The following is a 13,499-nucleotide window of genomic DNA, read 5'->3' on the forward strand; positions in this document are numbered from 1 at the left end:
ACCCACCCCATAAATAATTCCATTAAAAAGTAGGCAAAGGATCTGAATAGACATTTCTCAAAGGAGGACATATAAATGGCAAACAGGTATATGAAAAAATGCTCAACATCACTGATCATCAGAGAAATTCAAATCAAAATCACAATGACATATTATCTTACCCTAGTTAGAACGACTATTATCAAAAAGACAAAAAATAACAGATGCTGGTAAGGATACTGAGAAATGAAAATTCGTATACACTGTTGGTGGGAAAGTAAATTAGTATAGCCATTTTGGAAAAAAATTATGGAGATTTCTCAGAAAAACAGAAATAGAACTACCATATGACCCAGCAATCCCACTACTGGGTATTTAACCAAAGGAAAGCAAATCAGTACGTTACAGAGATACCCGTACCCATATGTTTATTCCAGCACTATTCACAATAGTTAAGACATGGAATGTCCAATCTAAATCCATCATGGGCTGGGTGCAGTGGCATACCCCTGTAACACCAGCACTTTGGGAGGCTGAGGTGGGTGGATCACCTGAGGTCAGGAGTTTGAGACCAGCCTGGCCAACATGGTGAAACCCTGTCTCTACTAAAAATGCTAAAAAAAAAAATTAGCTGGGCATGGTGGCAGGCGCCTGTAATCACAGCTACTGGGGAGGCTGAGGCAGGAGAATGGCTTGAATCTGGGAGGCGGAGGTTGAAGTGAGCCGAGATCGCACCACTGTACTCCAGCCTGGGCGACAGAGCGAGATTCTCTCAAAAAAAAAAAAAAGTCATGAATAAATGGATAAAGAAAATGTGGTATATATACATAATGGAATACTATTCATTCATACAAAATAATGAAATATGGCCAGGCGCGGTGGCTCACACCTGTAATCCCAGCACTTCGGGAGGCTGAAGTGAGCGGATCACCTGAGGTCAGGAGTTCAAGACCAGCCTGGCCAACATGGCAAAACCTCATATCTACTAAAAATACAAAAATTAGCCAGGTGTGATGGCACACGACTGTAGTCCTAGCTACTCAGGAGGCTAAGATGGGAGAATCGCTTGAACTTAGGAAGCAGAGGCTGCAGTGAGCCAAGATTGTGCCACTGCACTTCAGCCTGGGCAACAGAGCAAGACTCTGCTGCAAAAAAAAAAAAAAAAAAAAAAAGAATGAAATGGCCGGGCACAGTAACTCACACCTGTAGTCCCAGGTACTCAGGAGGCTGAAGTAGGAGGATCACTTGAGCCCAGAAGTTTGAGACCAGCCTGGGCAACATAGCAAGACCCAGTCTCTACTTTTTAAAAAAATTCAATCTTTTTTTCATGTTAATGAGGAACAGTATTTTTAAACTTTTAATAATATTGCAAATAACAGAAAGCAAAATATTAAAATATTCTTTTAAAAGGCACTTCAATCAAAGTGTTCTTTTAATCAGAGACCAGGTCAATCTTCCTCAGGGGTGGGAAAAAAACAGAGGAATTAGATGAAAGTACTCTTTGATTTATCTGAAAAGGATTTAAGCATTTTTAATTTCCATATGCTTTTACAGCCTTTTGATTCATTTAGTTTTAAGTTTTTGGCATAGTTGAAACTTTCATTGTGGCTCCTGATCAGAGGTATATGCCTACATTAATAGGATAAAGGAAGATGTGTTAAAGAACTACCACACCAATTTTCTATTTTGAATAATTTTTAAGAAGGCGAATGAGGCTTTTTTCTTTATTCGACAACTTTTAGAAAGAAATTTTGCATTTTGTTTTATTTTTCAAAGGTTTAAAATAGCAACTTGGATGGAAAGTTTGAATTATGTAATAAACAATGCCAGGTTTTCAGAGCCTGAAGCAAAAGCCAGCTGCTGGGACCTAGGGAAGAAGGGACAACAGTATTCCTCAAATACAGAGAGGGATCGGCTACTGTTGGATCTTCTAAGATCTTTATTGACCCAGAGAGTCTGTCACTGTCCTCAGTCACAAAAACTAAAACATATGCTCCTTTCATTTTGGCACTCTCCACTGCCTCCAGTGAGAACTTCCAGGACTATCCTTTCTGTGTATTTGGGGAAGGGGAAGGGAGGAGTTTGTCAGGGGATTGGGAGACAAAGCAGGTTACTCTCATCTAGCTTCTCCTAGTGTGTTGCTACAGTGAGGGCTTTTCTGGAGCGGGAGACAGAAAATCCCCCTTCTCAACTGAGGAGCAATACGGGTATAGTAAATATGTTTGTGTGACTGCCCTGTCCTAGCCTCCTTCTTTGAAATCACCCCCCAGCAACAACCCATACAGTAGGGGCTTGGTGGCCATAACTGTACTAGGAGATGACATCGTTTTGACTATAGCAGACTGGATGGGGGTTTACACCTGCTCCAAGTTGAGTTAAATTATTTTTCTCTTACAAATTTGGATTTTTTTTTTTTTTTTTGAGATAGAGTCTTGGTCTATCATCCAGACTGGAGTGTAGTGGTGCAATCTTGGCTCACTGCAGCCCAACTCCTGGGCTCAAGTGATCCTCCTGCCTCAGCCCCAAGAAGCTGGGACTACAGGTGTGTGTCACCACACTCAGCTAATTTTTTTTTTTTCTGTAGAGATGAGGTTTCGCCATATTGCCCAGGCTGGTCTCAGACTTGTGGGCTCAAGCAGTACTCCTGCCTTGGCCTCTGAAAGTGCTGGGATAACAGGTGTATGCCACTGTGCCTGGGCTAAATTTGGAATTTTAATCTTCTGCTTCTAAGGCTGAGAAAAAAGAAGAAAAAACAATAATAAAAGAAAAAAATTGGAATTGATATTTAGAGATGATAGGATTTAACTGGGAAAACCAGAAGTTGTCTGAATGAATTCCAAATACGAGGGTTGCTAAGCTTTTACAGAACGTCTACGTGATGATGGTGAAGGTAGGGAAGGGTCAGCGCCACTTAAGGCCAGGCATTTGGAGTTTGAATTCCACCTCTGCCACTTACTCAACCTGTAACATTGGGCACATTACTTAATCTTCCCCAAGGTTAAATTTCCAAATAAGAAAAATGCAGTTAAGAGTGCTTGCCTTGCAGCTTCGGTATGAGTATTAAGTAAGATAAATGATGTAAGATAGTTATCATAATTACTGAAATATAATAGATATTCAATAAATATCAACACCATGGCCAGGCATGGGTGGCTCATGCGTGCAATCCTAGCACTTCAGGAGGCTGAGGTGGGAGGATTGCTTGAGGCCAGAAGTTCAAGACCAACCTGGCTAACATAGTGAAACCCTGTCTCTATTTTTTTGAATAAAAATACAAAAAAATTTTAATCAATACCTTATTGCTAGAAAATTTATCCACAAGTTTCCACTTCAAAAATTCTGCAAGTGTAAACATCTGTTTGAGGCCAGGCACAGCAGCCCACGTCTATAATCCCAGCAGTTTGGGAAGCCGAGGTGGGCAGATCACCTGAGGTCAGGAGTTTGAGACCAGCCTGGCCAACATGGCGAAATCTCGTCTCTACTAAAAATACCAAAAATTAGCCAGGTGTGGTGGCACATGCCTGTGACCCCAGCTACTCGGGAGGCTGAGGCAGGAGAATCACTTGAACCCAGGAGGCAGAGGTTGCAGTGAGCCAAGATGGCACCATTGCACTCCAGCCTGGGCAACAAGAGAGAAACTCAGTCTCAAAAAAAAAAAAAAAAAGAAAAGAAAAAGAAGTCTGTTTGATTTGACTTAGAATTAACGATATCTTGACTTTAATGATAATTTGACTTTGAGCAACATTGTCTAGACCATGTTTTCAAAGGCAGTGACCCATTAGTCTGTTGTGAAATGAATGTGGTTGGTCATGGGCAATATTTTTGTAAATAAATATTTTGAGTAACATAGCATCTATCAACGCTACATTAGCATCCTGATATTTTGGTTGATCTGAGAGGTTTTGATGTATTTGACATCCTGTTTACAAAAGACAACTATAATTTACCTAACTGTAAGGCAGGAATTCCCAACCACTATGCCTCAAGGATTTTACAAAGTTTCCCATACGTCCTCCACCAGCTCTCAGAAAGTTAAGAGAAGCTGCCTATATTTACCCGGTGTGTTAGTTTGGGAAGCACTGCCAAAGGAAGGAGATGGTTAAAATTTTTGTAATTAACACTGTATAGAGTGTAGAGTTTAAAACATTTTTGCCATTAATAGTCAAATGTGGATTAGAATTAATATACCCTAAAGCCTCCTACTCAAAATGTGTTCCTCAGACCAGAAGCACCAACATCATCTGGAAGTTTGTTGGAAATGCAGAATTTCAGGCCCCTCCAGACCTACATTAAAGTTTGAGGCCAGCGCGGTGGCTCACGCCTGTAATCCTGGCACTTTGGGAGGCTGAAGTGGGTGGATCACGAGGTTAGGAGATCGAGACCATCCTGGCTAATACGGTGAAACCCCGTATCTACTGAAAATACAAAACATTAGCCAGGCATGGTGGCAGGCACCTGTAGTCGCAGCTGCTCAGGAGGCTGAGGCAAGGGAATGGCGTGAACGCGGGAGGCGGAGCTTGCAGTGAGCCGAGATTGTGCCACTGCACTCCAGCCTGGGTGACAGAGCAAGACTCCATCTCAAAAAAAAAAAAAAAAAGTTTGAATACCATTGTACTGAAGGAAACATACAGTCAGTTACTTAACTTATTTTTTCATTTTCTTTCTTTCTTTCTTTTTTTTTTTTCTTTTTTGAGACAGGGTCTCACCATTTTGCCCAAGCTGGTCTCAAACTCCTGGGCTCAAGCAATCCTCCTGCTTCGGCCTCCCAAAGCATTGAGATTACAGGCGTGAGTCACAGCACCCAGCCAAGTGACTTAACTTTTGTTAACAACTTCATGCAAAGATAATAATTTTCTGAAAAATAATTATTTAAAATATACCCACTGCTGGCCGGGCATGGTGGCTCACACCTGTAATCCCAGCACTTTGGGAGGCTGAGGCGGACAGCTTACTTGAGGTCAGGAGTTCAAGAGCAGCCTGGCCAACATGGCAAAAACTGCTCTCTACTAAAAATACAAAAATCAGCCGGGCATGGTGGAGCATGCCTGTAGTCTACTCAAGAGGCTGAGGCAGGAGAATCACTTGAACCCAGGAGGTGGAGGTTGCAGTGAACTGAGATCACACCACTGCACTCCAGCCTGGGTGACAGAGCAAGACTTTATCTCAAAAACATAAAATAAAATAAGGCCGGGTGTGGTGGTTAACGCCCGTAATCCCAGCACTTTGGGAGGCAGAGGCGGGTGGATCACTTCAGGTCTGGAGCTCGAGACCAGCCTAGCCAATATGGTGAAACCTCATCTGTACCAAAAATATAAAAACATTAGCCGGGTGTGGTGGTGCATGCCTGTAATCCCAGATATTCGGGAGGCTAAGGCAGGATAATCGCTTGAACCCGGGAGGTGGAGGTTTCAGTGAGCCAAGATCGTGCCACTGCACTCCAGCCTAGGCAACAGAGTGAGACTCTGTCTCAAAATTAATTAATTAATTAATTAATTAAAATACAAATACAAAAATTAGCCAGGCATGGTGGTGTGTGCCTGTAATCCCAGCTACTTGGGAGGCTGAGGGAAGAGAATCACTTGAACTTGGGAGGCAGAGGTTGCAGTGAGCCAAGATCCCACCACTGTACTCCAGCCTGCATGACAAAGTGAGACTCTGTCTCAAAAAATAAATAAATAAATGAAGTATACCCACTGCCACATCAGCATAAAGATTAGTGTTTTGTATCTCTTGCTGACTGCCTATAAAATCATGCAATCATTGTAGAGAGTTTTGAAAATGCAGAAAGTGGGAAAAACTATCCATAACTTAAAAGTTCACAATTGCATTCACTTTTCTTCTCTTAAACATAAAAATATACATATTTACAAAATTGGGATTATGGCATATATAAGATTTATATCTTACTTTTTACTTATGTATCATGACTATTTTCAGCAGTGCTTTTTAAAAAAAATTAGAATGGTGACTATTTAAGATTTCCTGAGTATAAAGTAAAATGATGAGTGAAGGCAGGCAATAAATGTGACATCCAGTTATAAAACATCAGAGTTGGGCTGGATGTGGTGGCTCAGACCTGTAATCCTAGCACTTTGGGAGGCCAGGGCAGGAAGATTGCTTGAGCCCAGGAGTTCAAGACCAGCCTAGGCAATGGAGCAAGACCCCATCTGTAAAAATAATTAAAAGGCCAGGTGTGGTGGTTCATGCCTGTAATCCCAGCACTTTGGGAGGCCAAGGCAGGAGGATCACTTGAGGCCAGGAGTTCAAGGCTGAAGTGAGCTATGATCCTGCCACTGAACTCCAGTTGGGTGACAGAGTGAGATCTTGTCTTTAAAAAGAAAGGGGACTGGGTGCAGTGGCTCATGCTTGCAGTCAGGAGTTTGAGACTAGCCTGGCCAACGTGGTGAAACCTCGTCTCTACCAAAAATACAAAAATGAGCCAGGCAGTGTGGTGGTAGGTGCCTGTAATCCTAGCTACTCAGGGGGCTGAGGCAGGAGAATCGCTTGAACCCAGGAGGCAGGGGTTGCAGTGAGCCGAGATCATGCCACTGCACCCCAACCTGGGTGACAGAGCAAGACTTTGTCTCAAAATATAAAAAATAATTTTTTTAAAAAATTAGCCAAACGTGGTGTTACTGCACCTATAGTCCTAGCTACTCAGGAGGCTGAAGCGGGAGGATCACTTGAGCCCAGGAGACTGAAGTTGCAGTGAGCTATAATCACAGCTCTGCACTCCAGCCTAGGTGACAGAGTGAGAATATCTCCCTAAGAAATAATAATAATAATAATTAATAAATAAAATAAAATATCAGAGTTGAAATAGGCCTTAGACATTATCTTGTTTAAAATTTTTGGTTATAGTTGGACAGACTTAAGCCCAGGAAGCAAAACTGACTCATCAAAGATAATTTGCTTAGGTAAACAAATTTATTGATTGAACTATTATTATGTATCAGAATCTGTGGTAGGGTGACCAGTTGTCCTGGTTTGCCTGGAACTGAGGAGTTCCAGGGACATGAGATTTTCAATGCTAAAACTGGAACAGTCAGGGTAATCACTCTATGGTTCTCCCTGTGTACATGTTAATAAATTTGTATGAGCTGGGCACAGTGGCTTATGCCTGTAATCCCAGCACTTTGGGAGGTCAAGGCAGGTGGATCACTTGAGCTGAGTCCGAGACAAGCCTGAGCAACATAGAAAAACCTCGTCTCTACAAAAAAAAAAAAAAAGAATAAATGTGTTTGCCTTTTTTCCAAAAAACAAAACTAAAAAACAAAAAATAGCCTGGGGTCTGGTGGTGTGTGCCCATAATCCCAGCTACTCAGGAGGGTGAGGCAGAAGGACTGCTTGAGCCCAGCCCTGGGCAACATAGCAAGACCCCATCTCAAAAAAACAAAACAAAACTGGAATAATCCCAAGCAAACCTGGACAGTTGGTTGCTCTATTACTAGGCCCTGGAGACAGAACAACTTATGAGATATGACTTCTGCTCTCAAGTCGGAGAGACATGTGAGCAAATCATTACAATATGATATGTACCAAAAGAGCTCCCACACTGTAAGTGAGGCAAGATTTCTGAGGTCCTGAAACCTCTAGGACAAGAAGGGAGTTAAGCAGATTAAAGCCAGAGTAGGAATGGGGCCATTTGGAAAGCATCGAGTCTGAACCATCAGTACAGTAAAAGACACAGTAGTAAAAAATAATAGCTAAGAATTTACTGATAATTTAGCTATGCGCCAGGCATTATGCTATATATTATCTGCTTTAATCTTTACAACCCCATAAGGTTGGATTTGTCATATGAGTGATGAAGACACCATTGGAGAGTTTTAAGCAGAAGAGTAATATAATTGTGTGCTTTAAAGATAAATGATCACTATGGCAGTATGTAAAGAGCTTTTAAAAAATCCAATACACGTACACACTCTTTTGAAATATCTGTAATCCCCCAAACCCAGTTTCATAAAAGAGATTCCAGATTCACAATACAGTTTAAAACCAAATTGTTTAACATCTTAACTCCTCTATTCTTTTTATTTTTTCTGTTCTTCCATTGGCTTTCTACCAATGTACAAACTCTGTAAGGAAGTTATTAGGTTCTATGGCAAGGGCTCCCTCTGTTGGTTGTGCAGCAACACAACAGCAACTATTTGACATCCAGCAGAAACAATTGCTTTAGGTTTTTACAGTAATCCTTTTTTAAAGAAAATCAGAGATCTTTCCTCTAAATTTCAATAATTTGTGAAATATGGAAACAAATATAAGACCCAGTTATTCAGTCTTTGAAGTTTAAACCAAAGAAAAATTTTCTTACTTGCAGTCACCATTTTCACTGGCATCATTCCATGTCTTCATCAAAGAGCCATTTACATTCATTAAACTGGACAGCTATTTGAATTTCATAATAGAATTATCCAGACCTTCATTTCCTATTATGCCCATAGTCATACAAATGAACTTTGTTATCACTTATCAGTAATAATCACTCATTGAGAATGTCATTTCTATACAGCTCCCAGATCGCCTAAGCCCATGACAGATTGGCTCCCAATTCCTCCAAATGAATGCCTGGCAGCGGCTGCAATAAAAGCTCCACCATGTAGGACTAACCCCTTCAGGCTGTAGACAGAATAATTTGCTCATTCAACCAAGATCCACTTCTACTTGCTCCAAACCAATTCTGCTCTTGGGAGACAGTTTAATAACGTAGACACTAAACTCAAGAACCCCCTGGTGTAGTGTGGAAGATATTTAACATTTGAAGCATGGCTCCAACTTGAAGCAGACTACAATAAATGTCATTAACATAGTACAATGCGCCATAAAAGCAGAAGGAAATAGCAAGTATGATTGAGAGACTTCAGGCAGACATCTTGGAGAAGGTACTATCTGGCTTGAACAGGACAAAAGATCCATGGTGTCAGGAATGTTTGTTTTGTCCATCACTGTATCCTAAGTTCCTGTAACTTTCATTGGCACATGGTAAGTGCTTAGTAAATAGTTACTGAATGAATGAGTAGATTTTTGAAATCAATAGGAATTTTACTTACAGGAAAAGGCAGAGAAAAAGAATTTCCCTTTTGAAAATGCTTATCCTCAAAACCTAAACAAACCTTTTGTTTGTTTAGCCTGCCAAAACCCTTCCCTTGGCTCTCTAATTTCTTCAGGATGAAATACTGTCCCTGTCTGCCAGGCATGGTAGCTCATGCCTATAATCCCAGCACTTTGGGAGGCTGAGGGAGGAGAATCACTTGGGGCCAGGAGGTCACCAACGTGGGCAACATAGCAAGACCATGTCTCTATATATTTTTATTATTATTATTAACAGAGTGTGGTGGCACACACCTCTAGTCCCAGCTACTCAGGCGGCTGAGGTGGAAGGATAGCTTGAGCCCAGGAGTTTGAGGCTACAGTGAGTTGTGATGGAGCCACAGCACTCCGGCCTGGACAACCTGGTCTCAAAAAAAACAAAAAGAAAAGAAAAGAAAAAAAGAGCCCACGTATTTTCCCTTTATCTGCCTTTTTCACCATTAGCTTCATCTTCAGGCTGGTAACAGGATGGCTACAGAGGTTTCAAGCATCACAAAATCCAGAGGAAGAAGAGGAACTTCTTCTTTCTGTAGAATAAGGAAGTATTTTCCAGAAGCTCCCCACAATACTTTCCCTTGTCCACTTGGCCATCCCTAAATCACTCACTAGCAAGGGGGATGATGTTCCCATAAATAGTTTGGCTGATCATCTAAGGTAGAGTGGAAGTTGGTGACCTTTTATGTTAGTTACTGCAGTAAGGTCTTGCTGTAACTCCTCAGCCCCCAGAATTGGATACCTTATGTCTCTGTGTATCTGCTTTTGTGACCCTGCCCTGAAACTCACTACCATGTTCATACCCTAGACCTTGTCCCTACCAATAAATGTGTCTCTCCATAATTTCAATTTCAGGGATCCCACCCTCTGACTTTCTATATTTCCAGCTCACTTTTTTAATATCAACTCCAACAATCTTCCAATCCCACAGGGACCTATATGCCACTGATGATCTTACCACATTCCTTTTCACAATCTTCCATCCCCTACACAAATTCTTCTATATCCAGCTTAAATATCATGGTCAATCATTATAATCACTCTCTTGCATATCCCCTGGACTCCCTTGCTCCCTTCACTTCATGGTACTCTCTTGGCAAATCTGCAGTTCTGCTTGTATCCAACTCTCTGCTTACTCAGTACCTGGACCAAGACCTGGAGTAGGACTGGAGAAAAATACATACCAATGTTAATTAGTCTTACTCTACGCTTAATGTCTTTACTGCTGAATAGTAAAGCTGCTTAGCAATTACAACGTATTTCTCCAGTCCATTTTATGTTTCATTCTCTGAGATGACCTCCATGAGATCTCCTGTCTCCTAAAACTTTCAATACCTCCTTTTGATTTTTTTGTTTTTTCCTGCAAATGCTATGGTGACTTACCTTCTTTTCAGTGCTTGTTTTCCAGCTGCTTACTTTGCTTATTTTACCGAGAAAACACAGGCAACTAGAGGGGAATTTCCATATGTTCCCATCACCCCCATCTAACTCCTAGCTACATCAGTGCTCACACCTCTGCTTTCTCTGTTAATGTGGATGCAGTCTGTGATCTAGCAGACCCATTCTTATTATGCAGTAGATTCCATCCCTTCCCATCAACTCAAAGAAATTTCCCCCAGCAATTCTTCCATTCTATATTCTGCATCACCAATATTTTTTATTTTATTTATTTATTTATTTATTTATTTATTACTAGATCAGGAATAATTTTGCCATCCCCCTTCCACAAGAGACATTTGGCAATTTCTGGAGACTCTTGTGGTTATCACAACCCAGGAAAGAAGCAGGGCGCACTACTGGCCTCTAGTGGACAGAATGCTAAGAAGCTTTCTAAACATCTTACAATGCAGAGGATGGCCCTTCTTAACAAAGAATTATTCTGCCTAAAATGTCAGTCCCAAATTGAGAAACCCTGTACTAGGCCATTCCTATAAGCACATAAACACACACACACAAGTGCTATTATTTCTCCCATTTTAAAAATCACCCTCCCGTGACTCCACATACCCTTCCAATTTCAATCCTATTTCCTGCTCCCGTTTACTGAAAAGTCCTCAAAAGTCTTATCTAATCTCACTGTGTCCACTTCCTTTCCTCTAAGTCTCACTTAGACTTTCCCAATCTGGCTGTGACCCAATATCCCATTGGAATTGCTTTTGTCAAGACCACAAATGGCCTCCATGTTGTTAAGTCCCAGGGTCAATTCTCAGCAGCACATGATTGAATTGATTACTCCCTTTACCTAGAAGTGCCTCCTTCATTTGACTGCTAGAATCTACCCTCTCCTTGTTTTCTTTCTATTCTTTTTTTTAGGTTCATGCTAATTACTTTTTTTACTTTTTTATTAATACATGATAATTGTACATATTTGTGTGGTACATGTCATACTTTGATACATGCATACAATGTGTAATGATCAAATCAGGGTATTTAGGATATGCATCACCTCAAATATTTATCATTTATTTTTGTCCAGAACGTTTCAAATCTTCTCTTCTAGCTATTTGGAAATATACAGCACATTGGTGTTAACTATATTCACCCTACTGTGCTGCCAAACTCTAGAACTTATTCCTTCTATCTAACCATATGTTTGTACCCGTTAACAAATCTCTCGGCATCCTCCTACCCCCACCCAGCCTCTGGTAACTATCATTCCACTCTCCACCTCTATGAGATCAACATTTTACAGCTCTCACATATGAGTGAGAACATGCAATATTTGTCTTTCTGTGCCTGGCTTTTTTCACTTAATCTAATTTGAATAATTCCCCCTCAGTCTCCCTTTCTGGTTGCCCATATACTGACCTCTAAATGTTGGAGTTCCTGAAGCTCATTCCTTGCACTTTTCTCTTGTATGTACTTGCTCCCTGGGCAGCCTCATTCAGTCCTGTGACTTCAAATATCATCTACGTACTGATAGATCCCACATTTTTATCTCTAGCCTGGATCTCTCCCCTGAACTACAACTCATGTGTCAAACTGCCTACTTAGCAGCTCCACCTGAATATTTAAAATGCATATAAAGCTTAGCATGTCCAAACTGAGCTTCAGATCTTTCCCTTGAATCCTGCTTCTTCCTCAGTCTCATTCTTCAAAGTAAACAATTCCAGTCTTTCATTTCCTTATGGTTAAACCTTGGTATAACATTTGACTTTACTCTTTCACACCTGAATTTGACCTGTCAGCAAAATCTTACTAAGCTCTACCTTTAAAATATGGTACAGAGGCATACCTCAAAGATATTGTGGGTTCAGTTCCAGACCATCACAATAAAGTGAATATAGCAATAAAGTGAGTCACACAAATTTTTTGGTTTGGTTTCCCAGTACATAGAAAACTTATGTTTCTACTATAGTTTATTAAGTGCACAATAGCATTCTGTCTTTAAAAATGTACTTATTGGCCAGGCACAGTGGCTCACACCTGTAATCCCAGCACTTTGGGAGGGTGAGGCAGGTGGATCACTTGAGGTCAGGAGTTCGAGACCAGCCTGGACAACATGGTGAAACCTCGTCTATACTAAAAATATAAAAATGAGCCAGGTGCGGGGCAGGCGCCTGTAATCTCCACTACTTGGGAGGCTGAGGCAGGGGAATCGTTTGAACCCGGGAGGCAGTGGTTGCAGTGAGCCAAGATCACGCCACTGCACTCCAGCCTGGGCAACAAAAGCAAAACTCCATCTCGAAAAGAAAAGAAAAAAAATGTACTTATCTTAATTTTAAAATACTTTTTGTTGTTGTTGTTGTTGTTGTTGAGACAGGGTCTAGCTCTGTCACCCAGACTGGGGTGCGGTGGTGTGATCTTGGCTCACTGCAGCCTCCACCTTCTGGATTCAAGTGATCCTCCCAACTCAGCCTCCCAAGTAGCTGGGATCACAGGTGTGCACCACCACACCAGGCTAATTTTTGTATTTTTTGTAGAGTTTTTTCTTTTTTGAGATGGAGTCTCACTCTGTTGCCCAGGCTGAAGTGCAGTGGCATAATCTCAGCTCACTGCAACCTCCACCTCCCAGGTTCAAGTGATTCTCCTGCCTCAGCCTCCTGAGTAGCTGGGATTACAGGCACGTGCCACCACATCTGGCTAATGTTTGCATTTTTAGTAGAGACAGTGTTTTGCCATGTTGGCCAGGCTGGTCTTAAATTCCTGACCTCAAGTGATCCACCCGCCTCAGCCTCCCAAAGTGCTGGGATTACAGGCGTGAGCCACCGCTCCCAGCCTGAGATGGGGTTTTGCCATGTTGCCCAGGCTGGTCTCAAAGTCCTGAGCTCAAGCGATCTGCCCACCTCAGCCTCTCAAAGTGCTTACAGGTGTGAGCCACTGCATCTGGCCCCAAAATACTTTATTCCTAAAAAAAGAATGCTAACAATCATCTGAGCCTTCAGCAAGTCATAATCTTTATGCTGGTGGAGGCTCCATGTTGATGGCTGCTGACT

At 41.5% G+C, this 13,499-nt stretch overlaps 2 annotated features.

The window, feature by feature from the left end:
• Positions 3,976-4,477: an enhancer, noted in NCBI's record as "NANOG-H3K4me1 hESC enhancer chr1:51651165-51651666 (GRCh37/hg19 assembly coordinates)". NCBI's record gives its function as "activates a minimal SCP1, AML or CMV promoter by ChIP-STARR-seq in naive H9 embryonic stem cells {active_cell/tissue: H9 hESC(naive)}" and the evidence as "EXISTENCE:reporter gene assay evidence [ECO:0000049][PMID:30033119]".
• Positions 4,478-4,977: an enhancer, noted in NCBI's record as "NANOG-H3K4me1 hESC enhancer chr1:51651667-51652166 (GRCh37/hg19 assembly coordinates)". NCBI's record gives its function as "activates a minimal SCP1, AML or CMV promoter by ChIP-STARR-seq in naive H9 embryonic stem cells {active_cell/tissue: H9 hESC(naive)}" and the evidence as "EXISTENCE:reporter gene assay evidence [ECO:0000049][PMID:30033119]".

Source organism: Homo sapiens, chromosome 1 (genome assembly GCF_000001405.40).
Source record: "Homo sapiens chromosome 1, GRCh38.p14 Primary Assembly".
Classification (NCBI taxonomy): Eukaryota; Metazoa; Chordata; class Mammalia; order Primates; family Hominidae; genus Homo; species Homo sapiens.